Below are 19354 nucleotides of genomic sequence, written 5' to 3' on the forward strand. Positions count from 1 at the left end.
TGCAGCCATGTAAGATGTGCCTTTTACCTTCCACCGATTGTGAGGCCTCCCCAGCCACATGAAACTGTGACTCCACTAAACCTCTTTTTCTTTATAAATTACCCAGTCTCGGGTATGTCTTCACAGCAGTATGAAAATGGACTAATACACAAGGTAAACTCTGGGCCAACTGAAAAGTGATTTGAGCCAAGTGATTGCAAACTTTCCTTTCTTCTTGAAAAGTCAACTCCAAGCAGGAGACAAAATCAAAACTGGTGTTTTGTACAGACTAATACAATCTCTAAATTCTGTGCTGGTGTTTTCAGGCTGGGGTGGGGCGTCTTCAGCCTCCATGAAGCCTCTGTTTAAGCTCTGTATTTTTTTGTTTTTACCTCCTTTATGAGGCTCTTTCAGGGAGAGGAAAGGCAATTTCCTGGCATGCGTGATGGACCCGCCTCTCCTATGGTTTAATTTTTTCTCAATCTTTCCTCATGGGTGTTTTTACCTCTCTTAAAATCATACCTGCCTGGCTGCGCCTTGCTGATTATTTTAATGTTATTCTAGATGTGCTGTAGGCTATGACATCACCTTTGTCTAATACAAAAATGCAGCAATACTCTTTTTCTTACTTCCCATGCTTTCCTAGACCCATCCTGATCTGTGCTTCCCAGATTGTGAGCCACAGATTCTGGAGTATGCATGAGGTTCCAGCACGAGATGCCTTGTCCATGTCCTCTCCAGTCAAGTAGACAGCAGGCTTTACACAGAGTTTCCCATCAGTGCCCCGATATTTAACTGGGTTCATAGCGTGTGTCTCCAGGACTGCCATGCCAGGTGTGAAGAACAGAAAGATGAAGAAGACACAGCCTCTCGGTGGAGACACACGTACACTTGGACACATGAGAGGATGTGTTGGGTGCAAGGCGTTGAATTTAAGGGAGCTCCCAGCAGGGAAGCCAGAGGGAAGGGAAAGGGGTGGGACCTCCCGGAGCTGCGGGCTGCAGAGGCTCTTCCAGAATGAGAAAGCCTGGCCCAGGGGTGTGGCCAGGAAGAGTAGAACATCCCTGCAGGCCAAGGGAGCAGCAAGATAATTATGCAAAGTTAATGAACTTTACAGGTGGCTTTGCTTAGCCAGGAATGGGCCGAGACCCGGAGTTTTAATGGATTAAATGTTTCTGTTATCAGTGAACTTTCAAAAAAACAAGGAAACAAATGCATGGTTTTCTATTGTTCTATATCGTGAGCTACTCCAGAAAAAAAAAAAAAAAAAAAGGTAAATTTAAAAGCGAAAATGAAAGGTTTCCTATTTTGGCCTCTGGGAATTTTGCTATCCTTGTCCACAAAGGGAGCGTAAATCCACAAATGTGATTTTCAACACCACTGCAAGGTGCCATTTCGTGTAATGCTTTTCAATAGTTAATCCCTGCCCCCTGCCCCCCGCCCCACCACCACACACACACCAGCTAGAAACCAAGGGATCTGCGTGACAGACCCCTTGCCCTGCTGGCATCTAATAGAGGAACGGGAGGCTCCTGTGGAGACCTGGTCCTCCTCACGGCTTTCTCCCTTCAATTCAGCCCCTTCCACGCACCTCCACGAATGCTCGCAGAATGAAACTGGAGTTTTACCTCCTTCTTGAAGCTCTTCCAGGGAGAGGAAAGGCAGTTTCCGGGCACCCACAATGAACATGGCTCCCATGGTTCAATTTTTTCTTCATCTTTACTCAAGGTGTTTTTTTTTTTTTTTAGAGGCAGAGTCTGGCTCAGGCTGGAGTGCAGTGGTGCTATCTCGGCTCACTGCAAGCTCCTCCTCCTGGGTTCATGCGATTCTCCTGCCTCAGCCTCCTGAGTAGCTGGGACTACAGGCGCCCGCCACCACGCCCGGTTAATTTTTTGTATTTTTAGTAGAGACGGGGTTTCATCATGTTAGCCAGGATGGTCTCGATCTCCTGACCTCATGATCCGCCTGCCTCGGCCTCCCAAAGTGCTGGGATTACAGGCGTGAGCCACCGTGCCCGGCCTGGTGTGTTTTTACCTTTCTTAAAATCATAGCTGCCTGGCTGTGCCTTGCTGATTTTTTAACGTCATTCTAGACGTGCTATAGACCATGATGTCACTTTTGTCTAATACAGTAACACAACAATACTCTTTGATTACTCCCATTACTACCTAGAAGAATATCTTGCTCCCAACTCACAGGCGGCCACAGTTTTGTGGGCCTGGAACCAGAGCCTCTGCTCCACAAAGGCAGGTTGGGCTTCAGGAGGAAAGGCTCTTGTCCAGGTGGTAGATTGATTTGATTCACCCAGAAGTGAAATGCGCCTCCATCCTGGGTCTTTCCTGGAAAATATTACTGAGACTTTAGGAGGGAAGGAACAAAACGCCCTTTGAAGTGTGAGAGAGAGATCAAAGATGCGCCTTGAGAGCTGACTGTGCAGGGTTCTCCAGCAGAGCACGGGGAGAGGGAGGCTTGTGGGACAAACCTGTCCTTGTCTGCAGCGTCAGCCGGCCCCCAGCCAGCCCACAGCCAGCTCCCCAGTGAAGCCTCTGCCTGGAGAGGCTTCCAATTACCAATGCACCTTCTGCCCTCTGACCCGGCCTTCTGAAAGGAGCATTTGTTTCTTGCCTGAGCTGGTGCAGTAGCCGATTGAGGGCAAAGTCATGTGGAGCCATGCACAGGGCGAAAGCCATTATGCTGGGTCTGTCTCACCAACTGGTCAAAAAGGAATGTTCCTGGTGAATTTTTTTCCCCTAAATATACATATATATTGTTTGGAACCCCATCAGGAGTGATTATTTTTGAAAGCAGTTAGTTCTCCCTGCTGCGGTGCTTAGTAGTGATTTGCCATTATACTTGCTTTGTGTCAGGAGCTAAAGTAAAAAGTGCCCTGAAAACAGCTGTTTGTACATCACGTGAGACTTTAATAAGAAACTCACGGGCATGAGATGCAGGCTGGCGGTGTGCGAGGCTTTGTGGTTCTGTCTTCAATTACGGGAAACATCTATGGTGAGGTCATTAACAGGAAAAGGACTTCAAACACAAACAAAAAGTATAGAAGAATTAAAAAGGAAAAGCATTTTTAACAAAGGATTAAAAGATGCAGGGACCTATGCGTTCAAAGGAGTGCAGGGGCGCGTGTCGCCTGCAGTCTGTGAGCAGCCACGTGGGGAGATCCCGTGATTGGCCGGTGCGGGGGCCAGGACACGGAGGACCCACAGCAGCGCAGGGGTTCTGGGACTTGGTGGGGACTCTGAAGCCCTGAAGCTGCACACAGCTTGGGGAGGGCTCTGGGAAGGAGAGCTGGCCCTGCCCTGCGTAAGAAATTCGATGTGGGAGAAACCGAAGGGTAGGGGACAGTCCGTGGCTGCTGCATCCAGCATTCGCTTAGCAGAATCGAGAAGTGACCAGTGGTGCCTTCCGGCTGGAGAGCAACAGATGCATTTCGGCAACACTGACAAAGAAAAATCCGGGGCATGAATGCCCACTTTTCTGCCGCCTCCTAGTTTTAGTAAGCTTCCTGTACTTATTAGAAAATGAAACACAAGCTTATTTCAAGTGGCCATTTCACTCGTTTCTGAGTGGTCCCGACCACATCATCTTGATCTTAAGTTATTATGCTTTTGCACCCGGAGGGGTAATTGTCACCCCAGAGCGTCCGTCTGTTTTTCTCTTAGTAACAGACCTTGCCCTCTCAGCGCCACCCCCTCCACTCCACACTTCTGGATGCTGGCAGGTAGATCTGGGTAGGAGCTCGTGGCTTCTGATATGGTTTGGACGTGTCCCCACCCAAATCTCATCTCCAATTGTACTGCCATAATTCCCACATGTTGTGGGAGGGACCCGGTGGGAGAGAATTTGAATCATGGGGTGGTTTCCCCCATTCTGTTCTCATGATAGTGAATAAGTCTTATGAGATCTGATGGGTTTGTCAGGGGTTTCTGCTTTTGCATCTTCCTCATTTTCTCTTGCCACCACCATGTAAGAAGTGCCTTTTGATCCTGCTGTGGTTCAGGGGCCTCCCCAGCCACATGGAACTGTAAGTCCAATTAAACCTCTTTTTTTGTCCCAGTCTTGGGTATGTCTTTATCAGCAAAGTGAAAACGGACGAATACAAATGCTTTCTAGATGAAGGAGCAAGGTCAGAGCTCAGGGAGTCTCCACATGCCTTTATGTTTTCCTTCCTCTGGCTGCAGACTGGGTCACGGGCTTGGTGGTGGGGGCAGATTTGACTTTGCAAAGCAGAAAAGACATCCTGCAGGAGGTGGGGCAACCATAGGGTAGGGGCCGAGGTCTCAGGGTGACCTCCAGGAGCAGTCCCTCCACAACCTGGGCCGCCTCTGGACTGCTATGGGAGGGGGCGTAGACTGCTCTCTCCTGTGAGCCTCTGTGTCCACTTAGCCAGGGCTCCTCCTAACACGGTGGTTGTCTCCATGAAATTCCTTTGATATGAGATCAGAGATAGCCAAGTTCCTAGATTTGACCCATTAGAGAAAGTTGTATCACTTGGCTTGTAATCTATGAGAAGTCTTTCTGATTTAAGTTTGTATGACTACCTTCTAATTTCATATATTTGTGAAGAAAGCCGGGGAGTCTCTTGGTGTTAAATCTTTTGTGGTACATTTCAAAGGATCATGACTGAGGCGTTGAGTAACATATTCAAAATACAAAAAAAGTAGGCATTTTTATAAATGAATGTCTTTTGCCTTAAAAACAAATCCCTGTCCCATCTTTTTTTAAAGATGAGGTTACCTTTGTTGACATTTCATCCGCTTTAATTCCCAACAAAGTTGCTGAAGGTAAAGGATAATTATTTTTATTTTTTACATGAGAGAATAGGAGCCTTCCAACATATTTTTTCTAGTAGAAAGAGAAAATTGGCACTGAATAAACAAGAAGAAATGATATTAGTGGCAGAAATTAAAAACTAAACTCAGTGTTTACAGTGGCATGGTGAGATGGTGATGAGAGCCTGGGTTGGAGATGTTCAAGGTGTCCCAGGCAAGTGAATGCCCAGCCCGTGACTCGCAGGAGGATGGCTTATTGTACTGGATGCTTGCCTTGGATATTGACCTAGCAAGAGGCAGCAGGGCTCACTGTTAGGAAAACAGAAAATAGAAATGAAAAATATCCTGTATTCCTGCATTACTCACGTGATTTTAACCTGGCTGGTGTCTTCAGGAACCTTTAGATTTGAGCTCATTTAGGGAATAATCTCTGATTCGGTCTCTTAAGCTTCCTTTCTTGAGTTTATCTGCTCTCATTCTGTTTGAAATCATTGTTCTAAATTATCTTGTGCATTTTCCTCTTCCTGTCTTCGATTAAATGCTTGCATCCTGGAGCTTAACCCCTTCATCGTTACCGTATTTCACCCTTCATCGTTACCGTGTTTCACCCTTCATCGTTACCGTATTTCACCCTTCATCGTTACCGTGTTTCACCCTTCATCATTACCATATTTCGCTACTTCCGAGAGGCATCATTCCGTTGGCTTTTTCATTATTTCTCTTTGTTCACCACAATGTAACTACTTTAAACACAAGTGATGGTGATCGTTCTCAAACCATTTGGAATTTCCTTATAAAGGAAAATGTCGTGAAAATAATGTATTTTTTTATTACTAAAACAAACATATATGTCATGTATTGTCTTTCCCATTTCTAACAATCTTACAATTCTATTGCGAGAAGATGTCAAGTTTTTCCGGTGTGATTTGTCCCATCCATGTCCATAAATATCAGGGGCTGCCCCCATAGCAGTTTCCATGTTTCCCAGCCATGCCCAGTGAAAGGCTGAGGGTGACATTCCAGGCTGGGCACAGAGTAAAGGGGTTTAATTTAAATCATCCCCAGCAATATTGTATCTGCAGAGCAGAACATCCCCAGCAATATTGCATCTACAGAGCAGAACAGCAACACGTCTTCCAGGGCCTGTTCTAGGCTTTTCTTCTTGAGATACCTGCTCTTGTCTCCCGGGCAGCATGAGTTTTCTTTTTTCTTTTTCTTTTTTTGAGATGGAGTTTCACTCTTGTTGCCTAGGCTGGACTGCAATGGTGTGGTCTCAGGTCACTGCAGCCTCCACCTCCAGGGTTCAAGCTATTCTGCCTCAGCCTCCCAAGTAGTTGGGATTACAGGCACGCACCACCACGCCCAGCCAATTTTTGTATTTTTTAGTAGAGACAGCGTTTCACCATGTTGGCTAGGCTAGTCTCGAACTCCAGACCTCAGGTGGTCCACCCCCCTCAGTCTCCCAAAGTGCTGGGATTACAGGCATGAGCTACCGTGCCCAGCCCAAGTTTTCTTTAAGGACATTAATAGATGACTCTCAGCCTGTCTCTTTTGCATTTTAAGTTGATATAATTACTGCACGAGTTCTGTTAGTGACCTTCTCATGGCTCACTTCGACTATATCTGGAACTCAGGAGAGCCTGCCTTCATGTATTTGTATTAATTCACTTGCTAACTGTGTAATTTTGAGAAGGTTCTCCCATTTCTACAATGGAGAAGATGCTACCTTCCTAAAAGAAGTGAATTAGATAATGCATATGAAATTTCCTCACCCACGTGACATGCTCACAAATATTATTCTACCTTCTTTGGGATGGTGTGAGTTTGCTATTGGTAGTTTTGGTGGAAGATCCACTGTGGCAAAATGGCGAGAGAGCCTGAGCTTTGGTGCTAGATATCTAGCCCTACTAGAGTGCTCCTCTTCCATGTTTTCCAGCATAAGACTTATTTGCAGAAAGCTGTATGTGGAATGTTGTCATTTCGCCTGACTCTCAGTAAAAGTAGCCATAACTTGCAGCTACTGATATCTAAGTCATCAAATGGTGCTTTTCTTTATGAGAGATATTCAGAGCTAGAACTCTCTAGTGTGTTTTATAATCATCATTCTTGAGAAATTCCCAGGTGAAATGGCTGAAAACCAGATGCGAGTCATAGAAAAATTACCACAGTGACGCCAAACTCAAGGCCTCTTCCGTGGAATGCCTCGCCTTGGGCAGTCTACATCTTCCACTCACCCTCCTTTCAGTCTTCTGCGTCTGCCATGTTACTATCCACTAGACTAATGCTTGATTATCCTTAGCATCGAGGTAGGTGCCCCGTGGTGAATAAGGCCATGCCTCCCCATCTCACGGCCTCTTTTGAAACACAGGGCAGCACACGAAAACACAATGCACGTAAGGACACACAATCAATGTCAGCCTCGCAAATGATTAATTGTTGTACTGAATGCCAAAGAACCAATACAGCACTCTGATGCTATGAAAGAAATGAACTGTTGTGCTGTTAGCAGACAGAGGGCTCTCTAAAATATCCAGGAGCTGACCCAGTAAGGACGCAGGACCACGTAGACAGCACATCACACCACTCCAGAGGTGCTTTTGGATGGATGAGAAATAAAAAATAATCAATGCTGAATTCACTAAAAACAATGCAAGAAATATTACTGAAGTAATAATTGATTGATAAGTAGAACAAAAGAAGAAATACATGCCATGATTAATTTCTAATATTTTGGTTGAATCAGATACTTCCATTAAGCTAGGGAAAGTTTGTTTATTAAAGGGTCTTTGTGAGTCTGAGAGACTCTGCAAAGTTCAACTCTAGAGTTGGAGGCCTGAGATTTTGTAACTGACTCATCCAACCCATTAGAAAACCCAAGGCCACACAAACAGCAAAGGACAGGGGCTGGATACTAATAAGAATCACAGAACACCGAGGGCATTAAGGAAGAGGAGTAACAGTAAGTGAAACCCATCCAGCACTTATGGGCTCCATAAACTTGAGAAAACAAGGTAAACTCTGGGTCAACTGAAAAATGGGTTGAGCCAAGTGATTGCAAAGTTTCCTTTCTGCTTGAAAAGTTGACTTCAAGCAGGAGACAAAATTAAAAATGGAGTCTATATTAGACTGTATAAGATGGTGAAGTGATGGGTAAAAAAAGCATTTAAAGCAATTCAAAATGGGCTTCCTTTTAATAATTCAATTAGGTTCACCCAACAATGTTACCGTTTTAAAAATGATTTATTCCTTCACTTTCTTATGAAATATGTCTCTGGAAGAAAACAGATACTCTCTTACTCTGTTAGGCATCTGGAGCTATTCTGGGCGTACCATTTATCTATAAAATTTTATAAATAAAGAGAATATGTTACCCTTGATGCCATTAATCTTCTAAATAAATTGGACTTTATTGTGTGTGATTTTCCTGGTGACTGAGCTGTTTATTTTTCTTTGGTGTTTGTATTAGACATTTCGGATGCCTACATGATAAGGTGTCCTATGAATAGTGCTTTATTGCAGAAGACCCATTTCTTCAAGCATAAAACTTCTGGACATTGTACTTACATAGTGGCAAGTGTAGAGATTGATCAGCATTGAAGCGTCTTTTCTGTGAAATATTGTATCATGGAGATAATACTGTGCTGTGGAAATCCCACTCCAGAGTGGCAGGGAAATGAATGAAAAGAAAGAGGGCGCTGCCCTGTTACCTGCAAATAGCAATTTGTCATGCATGCATCCATTGACTGCGGAGCTTTAGTCTTCAGAGGCACTTTCCCTCTTTTGTATGATATATTTGGAATCAACGAAGATTGGGACAAACCCTATCAAATAGTAGAAGTATTTTTGTGTGGGTTATGAAAACATGGCTGATAATCCGCCCATCTCTCTCCTTTAAAGAATCCTACCGTCTGCACGGAGATTCACCGGGGGAGACAGACGATCACTCAGTGCCACCCTCCGAGTCCCGTCCTTCCATGCCCACCTACACGCCAAACGCTGGGGTGGAGAGACACAGTCAGCCCATGGCTGCCTGTTCCTCATACCCTGCCAGCTACCACAGCTGGCTGACTTGTTTTTAAATTTAAGGAAGCGCTCTGACTTCTGCATTGAGAATGGACTGATCAGCTACGGGGTAGAAGCAGAAAAACTAACTAGAAGACCACTGCAGTAACTCTGGCGGCAACGGGAAGGCGCGCTGGGATCTGGGTATGTGTGGGATTTGCTCATGCCTCAGATGGAGGTGTCGGAGACAGAGTCACCATCGACTCCATATCTCTGTCCTGAGTATCTGCAAGGATGGACTTGCCATTGGTACAAGTGGGGACGGCTGGAAGGTGTGCAGTGTGGCAGCGAACGGTCATTAGCTTGGGATTCTGAGATGCAAGTGGACCACCTGGGACTGTGAAATCAGTGGTCTGATGTGTGACCTGGAATGTAGGAGAGAGGTCTAAAAGAGAAATGTAAGTTTGACAGACGATTTTAAGCCATGAGATTGGATCCCATCACCCAGGGAGGGGCCTTTGTGACAAATGAGAAGAGGGCCCCAGGTCCTGAGCCTGCCACTCTAAAGGCACCTGCATTCTCTCCTGCTTATCACAACTTGAAGTTGAATGCAGTGAGGATCACTGGCCAACTCTTTGGTATACGTCCATTTAAATGACCTCTCAAGATTGTAGGTAACACTAGCCAATCCCCAAATTTCCCAGGAATTTTTTGTGACTTACTGATGAGACCACCTGGGGGCTGGGGTGAGGTAGCGTGATCTCGGTGGGGTATGGGCACGGTGTAGAAGTGAATCTCATAGATTTGATGCTTATTCACACGACTGAGTCCTCTGTGCCATAAAGTGGCTCTACCCTATAGGATGAGAAACCAAAACCACCAGTCACATAAAACTATGTTGGTCTCACTATTGAGGTAGATCAGGAAACCAAGCATGGTCAATTTTGTTGTGCTGGTGGTCGGAAGTGATTTTTTTTCCCTGAATCTATTTTCGGAAACAAAATCGAAATACATGTAGAGCTATCTGAACTTTCAAAAGCCTGAGTTATGCCAGGATTTCTAACACTGTGCTCAGTACATGGTTGGAGAACCCAGGAACTTGCAGATGGGTGGCCAGCTCTTATTCCGCATTTGATCAGAGCTCAGATGTGACCTGCAGCTCCGAATCCCACTTGGAAATAGGAATCTGGTCTGGATGGGTCACGTCCGTGAACACACTGTATGTTGGCAGTTTCGCATTCCCTGTTTTGTAGCTCTCATGATGAAGCACGTTCTATGAATCTTCAGACATTCCTTACCAAGTCCAAAGAATCAAAGCCTTTATTTACATCTCAGATAACTAATTAGATCTAAAGTACAGTGATATGCTCATATCTTAGTTGTGTAAAAATAAATAAATAAATAAAGTGTGGTAAATGATTACAATGGAATGGGAAACAAGTAAGGAAAAAATAGTCCAAAGGCTGGATGCGATGGCTCATGCCTGTAATCTCAGCACTTTGGGAGGCCTAGGTGGGTGGATTACTGGATTACGTGAGGTCAGGAATTCGAGACAGACCTGGCCAACATGGTGAAACCCCATCTCTAGTAAAAATGCAAAGAATTAGCTGGACGTGGTGGCGCGCACATACAATCCCAGCTACTCAGGAGGCTGAGGTATGAGAATTGCTTGAACTTGGGAGGCAGAGGTTACAGTCAGTGAGCCAAGATTGTGCCACTGCACTCCAGCCTGGGTGACAGAGCAAAATGCCATCTTAAAAAAAAAAGTTCAAAATACCAAAGGCAAGTCATTTGACCTAGAGATGGCTTTAGAATACATCTCCAATGTAATTTGTTGGCACATTCATTTGTACAGGATCTCTTTTTTTATGTACCTTAAAAGAACTACCTCTGTAAAGGTCAATTTGCAGAGAGTGAAACGTTGATAAGAGAAATCTTTAACTTCCTTGTTACTTTCTGGCTTTATAAGTTGCTGTTGAATCAGAGTGAAATGAGTGTTTCCCTGGCTGGCCACATGGAGAAGACAGAAACTGGATCCCTATTTCTCAAAATAGACAAAAAGCAACTCAAGATGGATTAAAGGCTTAAATCAAAGATCTGAAACCATAAAACCTAAGAGGAAAACCTAAGAAAAACTATTCAAGACATTGGCCTAGGCAAAGAATTTATGACAAAGACCACAAAAGCAAATGCAACAAAACCCAAAATAAATAAATGGGACCAATTAAACTAAAAAGCTTCTGCACAGCAAAATAAATAATCAGCAGAGTAAACAGACAACCCACAGAATAGGAGAAAATATTTGCAAACTATTCATTCAACAAAAAACTTGTATCCAGCGTCTACAAGTAACTCAAACAAATCAACAAAAAGAAAACAAATAATTTTGTCAAAAAGTGGGCAGAGGACATGAATAGACATTTCTCAAAAGCAGTTATGCAAACAGCTAACAAACATATGAAAAAAAATGCTCAACATTACTAATCATCAGGGAAATGCAAATTAAAACCAAAATGAGATACCACCTTACCCCAATGAGAATGGCCATAATTAAAAAGACAAAAAACAATAGATGTTGGCGCAGATGTGGTGAAAAGGGAACACGTATACACTTCTGGTGGGAATGTAAGTTAGCACAACCCCCATGAAAAATAGTATGGAGATTCCTTAAAGAGCTAAAAGTAGATCTACCATTTCATCCAGCAATCTACTGCTGGGTGTCTACCCAAAGGAAATCCTTATGTCAAAAAGAGAACTGCACATGTATGTTTATCACAGCAAAATTCACCATTGCAAAGGCGTGGAACCAACCTAAGTGCCCATCAACCAATGGGTGGATAAGGAAATGTGATATATGTACATGATGGAATACCACTCAGCCATAGAAAGAAATAATGTGTTTTGCAGCAACTTGGGTGGAACTGGAAGCCGTTATTCCAAGTGAAGTAACTCAGTAATGGAAAACCACACATCGTATGTTCTCACTTTTAAGTAGAAGCTGAGCCATGGGTATGCAAGGGCTTCTGAGTGGTATAATGGACACTGGAGACTCAGAAGTGGGGAAGGTGGCTGGGGGTGAGGGATAAAAAACTACAAAATGGGCACAATTGACACTGTTCGCGTAATGGGTGCACTAAAATCCCAGACTTCATTATACGGTTCATCCACGTAACCAAAAACCACTTCCACATCTAAAGCGATTGGAATAGAGAAAAGAAATAAGGGCTTCCTTTTTAAAGGAGAGAAAGGTGGATTCTGTGCATGGCTGTGCCTCGGTTTCGTCCTGCATGCACACTAGCAGCAGTGGCTGGCCTCAGGAGAACATGGATGGTGACTCATCACATGGAGTGACTTACGGTCCGGGAAGAGTACATCTGCAACTGAGATGGTGAGTCATAAACAACGGAGAGCCAGTGAAGCTCTGCGAGAGAGGAAAGCCAGGGAAACCTGTGGGAGCAGAGAGCCAGGGTGGACAGATGAGTTCCCAGAAGGGTAGAGCTGGGGGTCATCTGACTTATCTTCCTCAGAAGGGTGATACTTTTTTAAATCTGTCCCATGGAAAATTGTACGAGTATGAGTGGAAAGCTGCAAGGTGACCGGATAGCACAGGGCTCAGGGAGCCACAGCCCAGCTTCAACCAAGAATGCATGATTCTTGTATGTGGCGAGGGCTTCCCCCACCCTCCGCAGCACCCTGGTTCCTTCACTTCATCTAGTGAGAAACAAGAGCAGCCCTGTTGCAAGGAATGTGCCTGGGGGCCCATCAGTGCTCTGGGCTGCCTGACATGAGGCCCTTGGGTCTCTGTGCCTCAGTGTCCTCGAGTTCCAGTTGAGATGGGTGCCCATGGCTATGGATTGTTGATATCCTTCTGGCTCTGAAATTTGGATAGTTTCTTCTCCAAAGAACTAAGTGTTACTGGAGGCTCTTGAAAGAAATCTGCAGCGGCCTGGGATGTTACACATCCAGCCCCAGATTACCCCAAGGATGGGCTTGAACCTCACCCCATATCCAGCGTGAAATGACCTGCAGGCGTGTCTCGGGGTCTGGATATCAAGGCATCCAGTGACTATGGAGCAGGAACGAGGCCTTCAAGTCCTGATGGCGAATGGCCACTTCTGCACATCCCCTAAAAACCTTATCTTCTAAAGACCTTCAACACATTAAAAATTCTGTGAACTTTACTATTTCTAAAAATATCCTACCAGCTCCACCACTAAATATAACGTCTCTTCCAACGATGAGTCAAATGCATTTTGCATCAATGGCTCTGCATACTTGAGAAACGGAGTTGTTTGTGGTGAAGATATTTTTCCATGGTGCTGCTCCAACAGAGGTCATTTCTAAGAAATTTCTAATTTCCCTGGAGAAAAATGAATGCTTCAAAGTCAAAGAAGAAGGATTTTTTACTCCAGAGCAACTTCTAAATCTTTTTCAAAACTGGCTTTTTGCTTTTGAGATCAAACTTTGCTCTGTCCAGTTTCAAATATCTTCCTTTTTTTCTGTCTCTACTCCAGCTTTTTTAACTGATGCAAACTTTGAGTATCAGGGTAAACCACTAACCTCATACTTATCCTTTTAAAACACTTCTTAGTCCTGTTATTTCCATTTCTTCATATCCAACCAATGACAGTATATGTTTTCTCAAAATAAGTCTGTCCTCAAACCCACAAACACATACCTAAATTTATTATCATTATTACTGATTTCCTACTTGCACTGCTAAATGTTTCTTGGTGCCTGTGAGGGCTGTGGTGCAGACGCTCCCCTCCCTGGGAGGACAGTAGCCTGTTAAATGTTAGATGTGAGACTTCTCTCATCTGTATCCAGTATGTCAGGATGAAATAACTTTGGGGTTACAATATTTGGGGAATCTAAAGATAGTTATTACTGCTGTTTAGATCAAAATTTGAAATGCCATGGAAAGTACTAATGAGTCCTAGTACAAGGAGAAATGAAATAAAGTTATTTAATTTTCAAATGATTATTTAATAATTTAGTTCCCAGCTGGTCGACTAACCAGGACCAATGGGACCTCAAACCCATTTTACAGGCAGCTGGGGGCATTAATTATAAATGAAAAAAAAAGAAAAAAAATGAGTGTATGAGTGTATTACCCTTTCTCCCACCATTTTTGCAATAAGATAGTGTCTAGAAGGGGGCTACAAGTGAATGCAACATAAACTAAAGTGACTTTTCCTTTAAAAACTCAGTGGTTCTTCCAGGGCTGTTGGTTTATTCCTCTCTCACCATGATTTTAATGCTAACTTCATCCTCCATTCCATACACCCCAAGTTAACTAAAGGGAAAAACGGTCCACAAAACAAACAGATTCTAGGAAAATCTGTGTGACAGCATCTGTGCGTGTGAGCAGCCCTGGGGTGTGTCCACTCCTCTGGGATCCCATATGGTTTTCCCTTTTAGAATTGTTGAGATAAGGATCTGGCTTTACTGGGGTTTCGTGTTCCCGTCTTTAGAAAGAAGTCAGATCCTACTCTTTCCAATATTCTGTGCTCTTTTGAGTCCAAGTGCAATCACACATTTAAAGCTGTTTTTCTTTCGCTTCTCCACTTGAAAATATGTGTCCCTGAATCACTCTGTGGTCTTTTTCTTTCTTGTTCCTTAGGTGTGCTGACTTTCTGAATTTGCAAGTGTATCATCAGGACAGGCAGAAACATGTATGTTTTCCTTAATTTATTTTTATTCTTAATTTTTGCATACAACATTTCTTTTCTTCTGACTACAAATGATTTCTTCACTACATCTTGTGACCTGGCTGGTATATGGGATTAGGATATTCTATTTATAGGCAGCTGAAGCGAAAGATTGGGATGATGACATGGGTGGGGTGGAGATTTCTCCAGAAAGAGAGCCAGATTTAGGCAGAACATTTAGGCAGAACACAAGCCGTGAATGCCAGTGACTGGCATCACTGATCATTTATACAATGGTTATAGAACTCAAGTGACAGAAGTCTTAGATCGTGAACTTTTTTTTTTTTTTGAGATGGAATCTCACTCTGTTGCCCAGGCTAGAGTGCAGTGGGGCTATCTCGGCTCACTGCAACCGCCGCCTCCTGGGTTCAAGTGATTCCCCTGCCTCAGGCTCCCAAGTAGCTGGGATTACAGGTGCCTGCCACCACGCCCGGCTAATTTTTGTATTTTTAGTAGAGATAGGGTTTCACCATATTGGCCAGGCTGGTCTCCAACTCCTGACCTCGTGATCCGCCCACCTCGGCCTCCCAAAGTGTTGGGATTACAGGCATGAGCCACTGCGCCCGGCCGATAGTGACAATTTCTAAGCAGTGCCCTAGGACAAATGATCATATCACACTTTATCATTGTGATAAAATTCTATCCTCATGCTGATGAGACTGTTGGGGACATTCCCTCCCGGGTAACTCCCAGGTGAGCTCAGAGGCTGTAGCAGCGTCCAGTGGGAGTGGGCCAGCTTCCTTCCACACATCAGGGCCTCTGTCTCCTTCTTCTAAGGCAGAGAGGAACTTTCCACGGGGTATTGATCATGGTGATGTCAGTGGCTTCTTGGACCCACTCAGGGTCAAACCACCCACAGCATTGGAGCTGACAAGAGTCCTGGAATCACAGAGAATTGTTCAATGAGCATAAATCACTAAGTGATCTCATTGGACAAGGGAGGTCTCATTTCTTTCTTAGACAAATATCCCTTCTGTACTGCAATGCACGTGGCTGTGAGATCAGTTTCCTCATAAAAAAAAATAATAAAACAAATGGAATAAGAACAGAATAGCAGAAAGGTCCCGGAGCCCAGAGGAAAAGGATAAGATAGAACTTATGGGAATTCCTTGCTTGACTGGCTGGTCTTTGCTGCATTTTCCTTCTGAAACATTGTATGGTCTCTTAGAGGTTTTCTAACTTGCTTCTCCTGCAGATTCCAAGATTAACAGCAGGAAGCTCTATTTTAAAAATAACCAACTGTTACAGTGAAAGTGATTAAAAACACCATCATCACAAACGAGCTCTTCCCAGATCTAGGTCCAAGTTATTCCTGAAGTTAATATAGACCTGTATTCATTCTCTGGCCCCAGGAGAGCAGGAGGCAGAGCTTAGAGTGCCTGGGGAGTCCTCCTCCCTCCTCCTCTTCCTCTGACTGGCCTTGCTCTCTCAGCCTCTCACCTAAAGCCCTGACCCACAGGACAGCACCTGCTGACTCTCTCTTTCGTGTTCTCCCCGGTTAGGCTGGCATCCCCTTGGTCAGACAAGAAAATCTCAGCAGAGGCCCGAAGAATGAGTTCAAATGCTGGTGAATTCAAAACGCAGAGAGCCCAGCAGACGCCATCACTATGGATCTTGTATTTGAATCCGATGTAGCTGGATTCCCGGGGCCACGTAAATTAGGCGTGGAGCCTGTGTTAGAGAGTGAGGGTTTCCTTAGCGTCGTTGGCATCATTCATGTATAGCCAAGGTTCCACTTCTTAGCTTCTCCTTCAAGAAAGCCAACGAAGCAGGCATTTGGGAAAGTCAGCACTCGTTCAAGAGTTCGTTGGCTTTCAGTTGTGATGATGTTTTAAGGTCATATTTTTCCAAGTAGGATTGTTTGAGAATGAGGGCTCTGGTTTCATTCAGAGATAATGGCAATAGGCTTCTCTCACTTCAAACACCTGACTTGCCACACACTTGTTTGACTGCTGCCCTTATCCAGAGAATTCTCATCAAGATGGGCATGTGGGCCGGGATGCTGCTGTACCCCAGGATTCACACTGGCCTCGCGGCCGTGCAGAAAAGCAAGACAGTGGATCTGAGCTCCATCCCCGCAGTCTGCACTGGCCCCTTCATGGCACAGCGACAGCTTTGCCATCAGCCGGCAAGCATGCGGGGTGTGGACGACACAGCCGGAGAGAGCAGAGGCCAGGCTCATGAATCGGACAACGAGCTCGAGTTTTCAAGGTGTGACTCAAAGATCCATCAACACTTCCTTAGTCATCTGCTATTAGGTATTAGTGATATAGTCCATTGGATTCAGCCTTAGTCATCTGCTATTATCTGCTATTATGTATTAGTGATATAGTCCATTGGATTCAGCCTTAGTCATCTGCTATTATCTGCTATTATGTATTAGTGATATAGTCCATTGGATTCAGCCTTAGTCATCTGCTATTATCTGCTATTAGGTGTTAGTGATACAGTCCATTGGATTCAGCTTTAGTCACCTGCTATTAGGTATTAGTGATATAGTCCATTGGATTGAGTTAATGCTCAGACTCTGTGAAAATAGTCAAATTCTTTTACTTTCTCAACTAGATTTGATGCATTTTTCGAATATTTACGTGTCGTGTTAACATGACCCTAATTCAATTAGCTTGCCAGTAAATTTTACTGCTTGGGGATGAGATCTACAAAGGCATTACACAGGGACATGAAGCTCCCTGCTGCCAAAACGTTGGCGCTCTTCAGCGGTTAAAACGTTCTTCCTTCTGCTGAGTGATGATCCGCTTCCATGGAGTTTCCATCGCTGGCTCCTAGAGCTTTCCTTTGGTGATTGAAAGCATCAGTCTGCCTCCTCTCCTGTCTGGCATCCCTTCAAATATTTGAAAAGGGTGACTAAGTTCCCTCTAAGCCTGTTCATTCTCATCCGGGTCATCCTCCTGCCCTCTCTTGTTAGTTGTACAGAGAAGTTTCTAGACCCTTCACCGCTGTGGCTAATTCCCGAGAAGAGGAGGTGGGCTACTCCGGTCTTGAGAGTTATGACTGGACACCTGAGATGCACAGGATATAAGGCTTCATGCAACTGGAAAGAAATTTCTGCACATAACAAGTTTATACTCGTCCATGTACAAGGCCCCGAGTCAAACACAGTCATCTGAAATTGTCAAGTGGGAGAAAACAGCTACAGATTTCTATTTTTTCTCATGCCTAGTCACAGCATTGAGTCTTGTTTGAGGCAACATCACTCTTATCGTTTTTAAAAAATATCTTACTACAGCCCTCTCCCTGTTGCTTGAACTCATACAGAAGAGAAGGCAGTTGTCCCTCCTGCTGTATAAATTATAACTGCCGTCTCTCCTTTCTTTCCACACATTGCTGCACCCAGAGTGCTGCCACCAACACTTAACTGTATCTTTATAGTCAAGGAGGAATCTGCCTTCCAGAGACAGAAATAGTGTGTGCACATGTGTGTGAATGTGTATCCATGCACATGTGTGCACATCTGTATGTATGTGCACGTGTATACACTCAAGTTGTGCATGTATGCTGTACATGTGTATTCAGGGATGTGTGTGCATGTGTGTGCATGCATGTGTGTGCATGGTATGTGGGCATCTCTTCGCATGTGCACCTATGTGTGCATTTATGTTGTGCATGCATGTTATGCATGCGTGTGCATGGATGTCAGTGCATATGTGCATACATGCATGTGCGTGTGTGTGGATTTGGATGTACGCAACTTATGCATTTTTTCTAAGGCTATTTATTTTTTCATTTGGGCAATTTTTTTTTTCTCAGATGTCGTCAGGTCCATCACAGCTCAGCATTATGAAATAATAAAATAACCAAATCCTTTCCCAATCGGTAGCAGCTCCATGTGTATCCATCTTTTCTCGGTTTAACTTTGATTGTTTATGCATGGGCAGCATGTACTGCTGTAAGAAAAAAACAGGTTTTCTTTTGTAGAAGCTTAAGGTAGATAAATCTTTGATGTACACTGGTGGGCTGTTCTAATCTTGCAGTTGCTGTATGGACTGGAGACTTAATATTCACCTCTTTGGAAAGGCTGCACAATTGATCTCAGGAAGATCTCAGCAAACCTTGGAATTACTGCTGGAATGAATGGATGCACATCTTTTGAATTATATTTATAATACTATATACTAATATATATACTATATATATTATAGTGTGGTATACTATACTATTATACTATACTATATACTCTATTATTACAGTATACTACACCATATACTATACTATAATACTAATACCCTTCTGTATATATTGTCTCCTTGTTTTGTTGAGATTTGACTGGATCCCAGGGCAACCGCAGTGTAGGCACTGTGAGACCCAGCAGTTGATTCCCCACCTGCCTGTCCCCACCCTGGCCAGGATGGTGCCTGCCTTACGTCTCTGATCCCTTTCAGGTCATGCACAGTAATCGTTCGCCGTCCTCCCCAGGGCTCTGTGGCTGGCATAGCTGCCACTGTGTGCGAAGGGGATGGGCTGCCCAGCTGAGCTTCCTCAACTGACTCATCACCCACATTTCGGCAAGAGACTCATGCATGGCTCCTGTCGCCGGGAGCAGGCTGCACGCTGTGATTTCATTTGTGTCCTGTCTCGTTCATGCTGGCCTTCTTGGGGACATTGCTGCGAGGAATGCATTTACAAGGGATTTGGGCTCCTTGGATGACCTGGACAGGTTTCTGCCTCCTCAGTGTCTTGTTGTCCTCTCTCATTCTGGAAGTCAGGTTCAGAGAGGAAAGCCTTCAGGCACTATAAACAGTCTCCATAACTGAAGGAGGCAGAGACAAGAGCCCTGTTCCCAGGTGGTTAAATCAAAGGGACTGAAAAACAACAGCTTTTCATCCAATAAGGCTCAGGCACTGGGGGGACACGAGAAGT

At 44.3% G+C, this 19354-nt stretch overlaps 2 long non-coding RNA genes across 2 annotated transcripts in view, besides 3 other annotated features; both read left to right on the plus strand.

The window, feature by feature from the left end:
• LOC105376360 (uncharacterized) overlaps positions 1–19354 on the plus strand; it is a 432070-nt gene that overhangs the window by 195195 nt on the left and 217521 nt on the right. The gene's annotated exons all lie outside the window — the stretch shown is intronic.
• Positions 11725–18307, plus strand: LOC124902539 (uncharacterized). The gene is made up of 2 exons (XR_007062363.1): positions 11725–14440; positions 15979–18307. It is a non-coding gene; the product is annotated as an uncharacterized LOC124902539 (long non-coding RNA).
• Positions 12057–12228: a silencer, noted in NCBI's record as "fragment chr10:3568138-3568309 (GRCh37/hg19 assembly coordinates)". NCBI's record gives its function as "represses an EF-1alpha promoter that drives an FKBP-Casp9 reporter gene in an ReSE screen in K562 erythroleukemia cells {active_cell/tissue: K562}" and the evidence as "EXISTENCE:reporter gene assay evidence [ECO:0000049][PMID:32094911]".
• Positions 16276–17475: an enhancer, noted in NCBI's record as "BRD4-independent group 4 enhancer chr10:3572357-3573556 (GRCh37/hg19 assembly coordinates)". NCBI's record gives its function as "activates an origin of replication core promoter dependent on BRD2, P300/CBP, MED14 and CDK7 cofactors, and independent of BRD4, by STARR-seq in HCT116 cells {active_cell/tissue: HCT116}" and the evidence as "EXISTENCE:reporter gene assay evidence [ECO:0000049][PMID:35650434]".
• Positions 18728–19022: a silencer, noted in NCBI's record as "tiled region #1905; K562 Repressive non-DNase unmatched - State 19:H4K20". NCBI's record gives its function as "represses a minimal TATA promoter and a strong SV40 promoter by Sharpr-MPRA in K562 cells {active_cell/tissue: K562}" and the evidence as "EXISTENCE:reporter gene assay evidence [ECO:0000049][PMID:27701403]".

The sequence above is a fragment of the Homo sapiens genome, chromosome 10, assembly GCF_000001405.40.
Source record: "Homo sapiens chromosome 10, GRCh38.p14 Primary Assembly".
Lineage (NCBI taxonomy): Eukaryota > Metazoa > Chordata > Mammalia > Primates > Hominidae > Homo > Homo sapiens.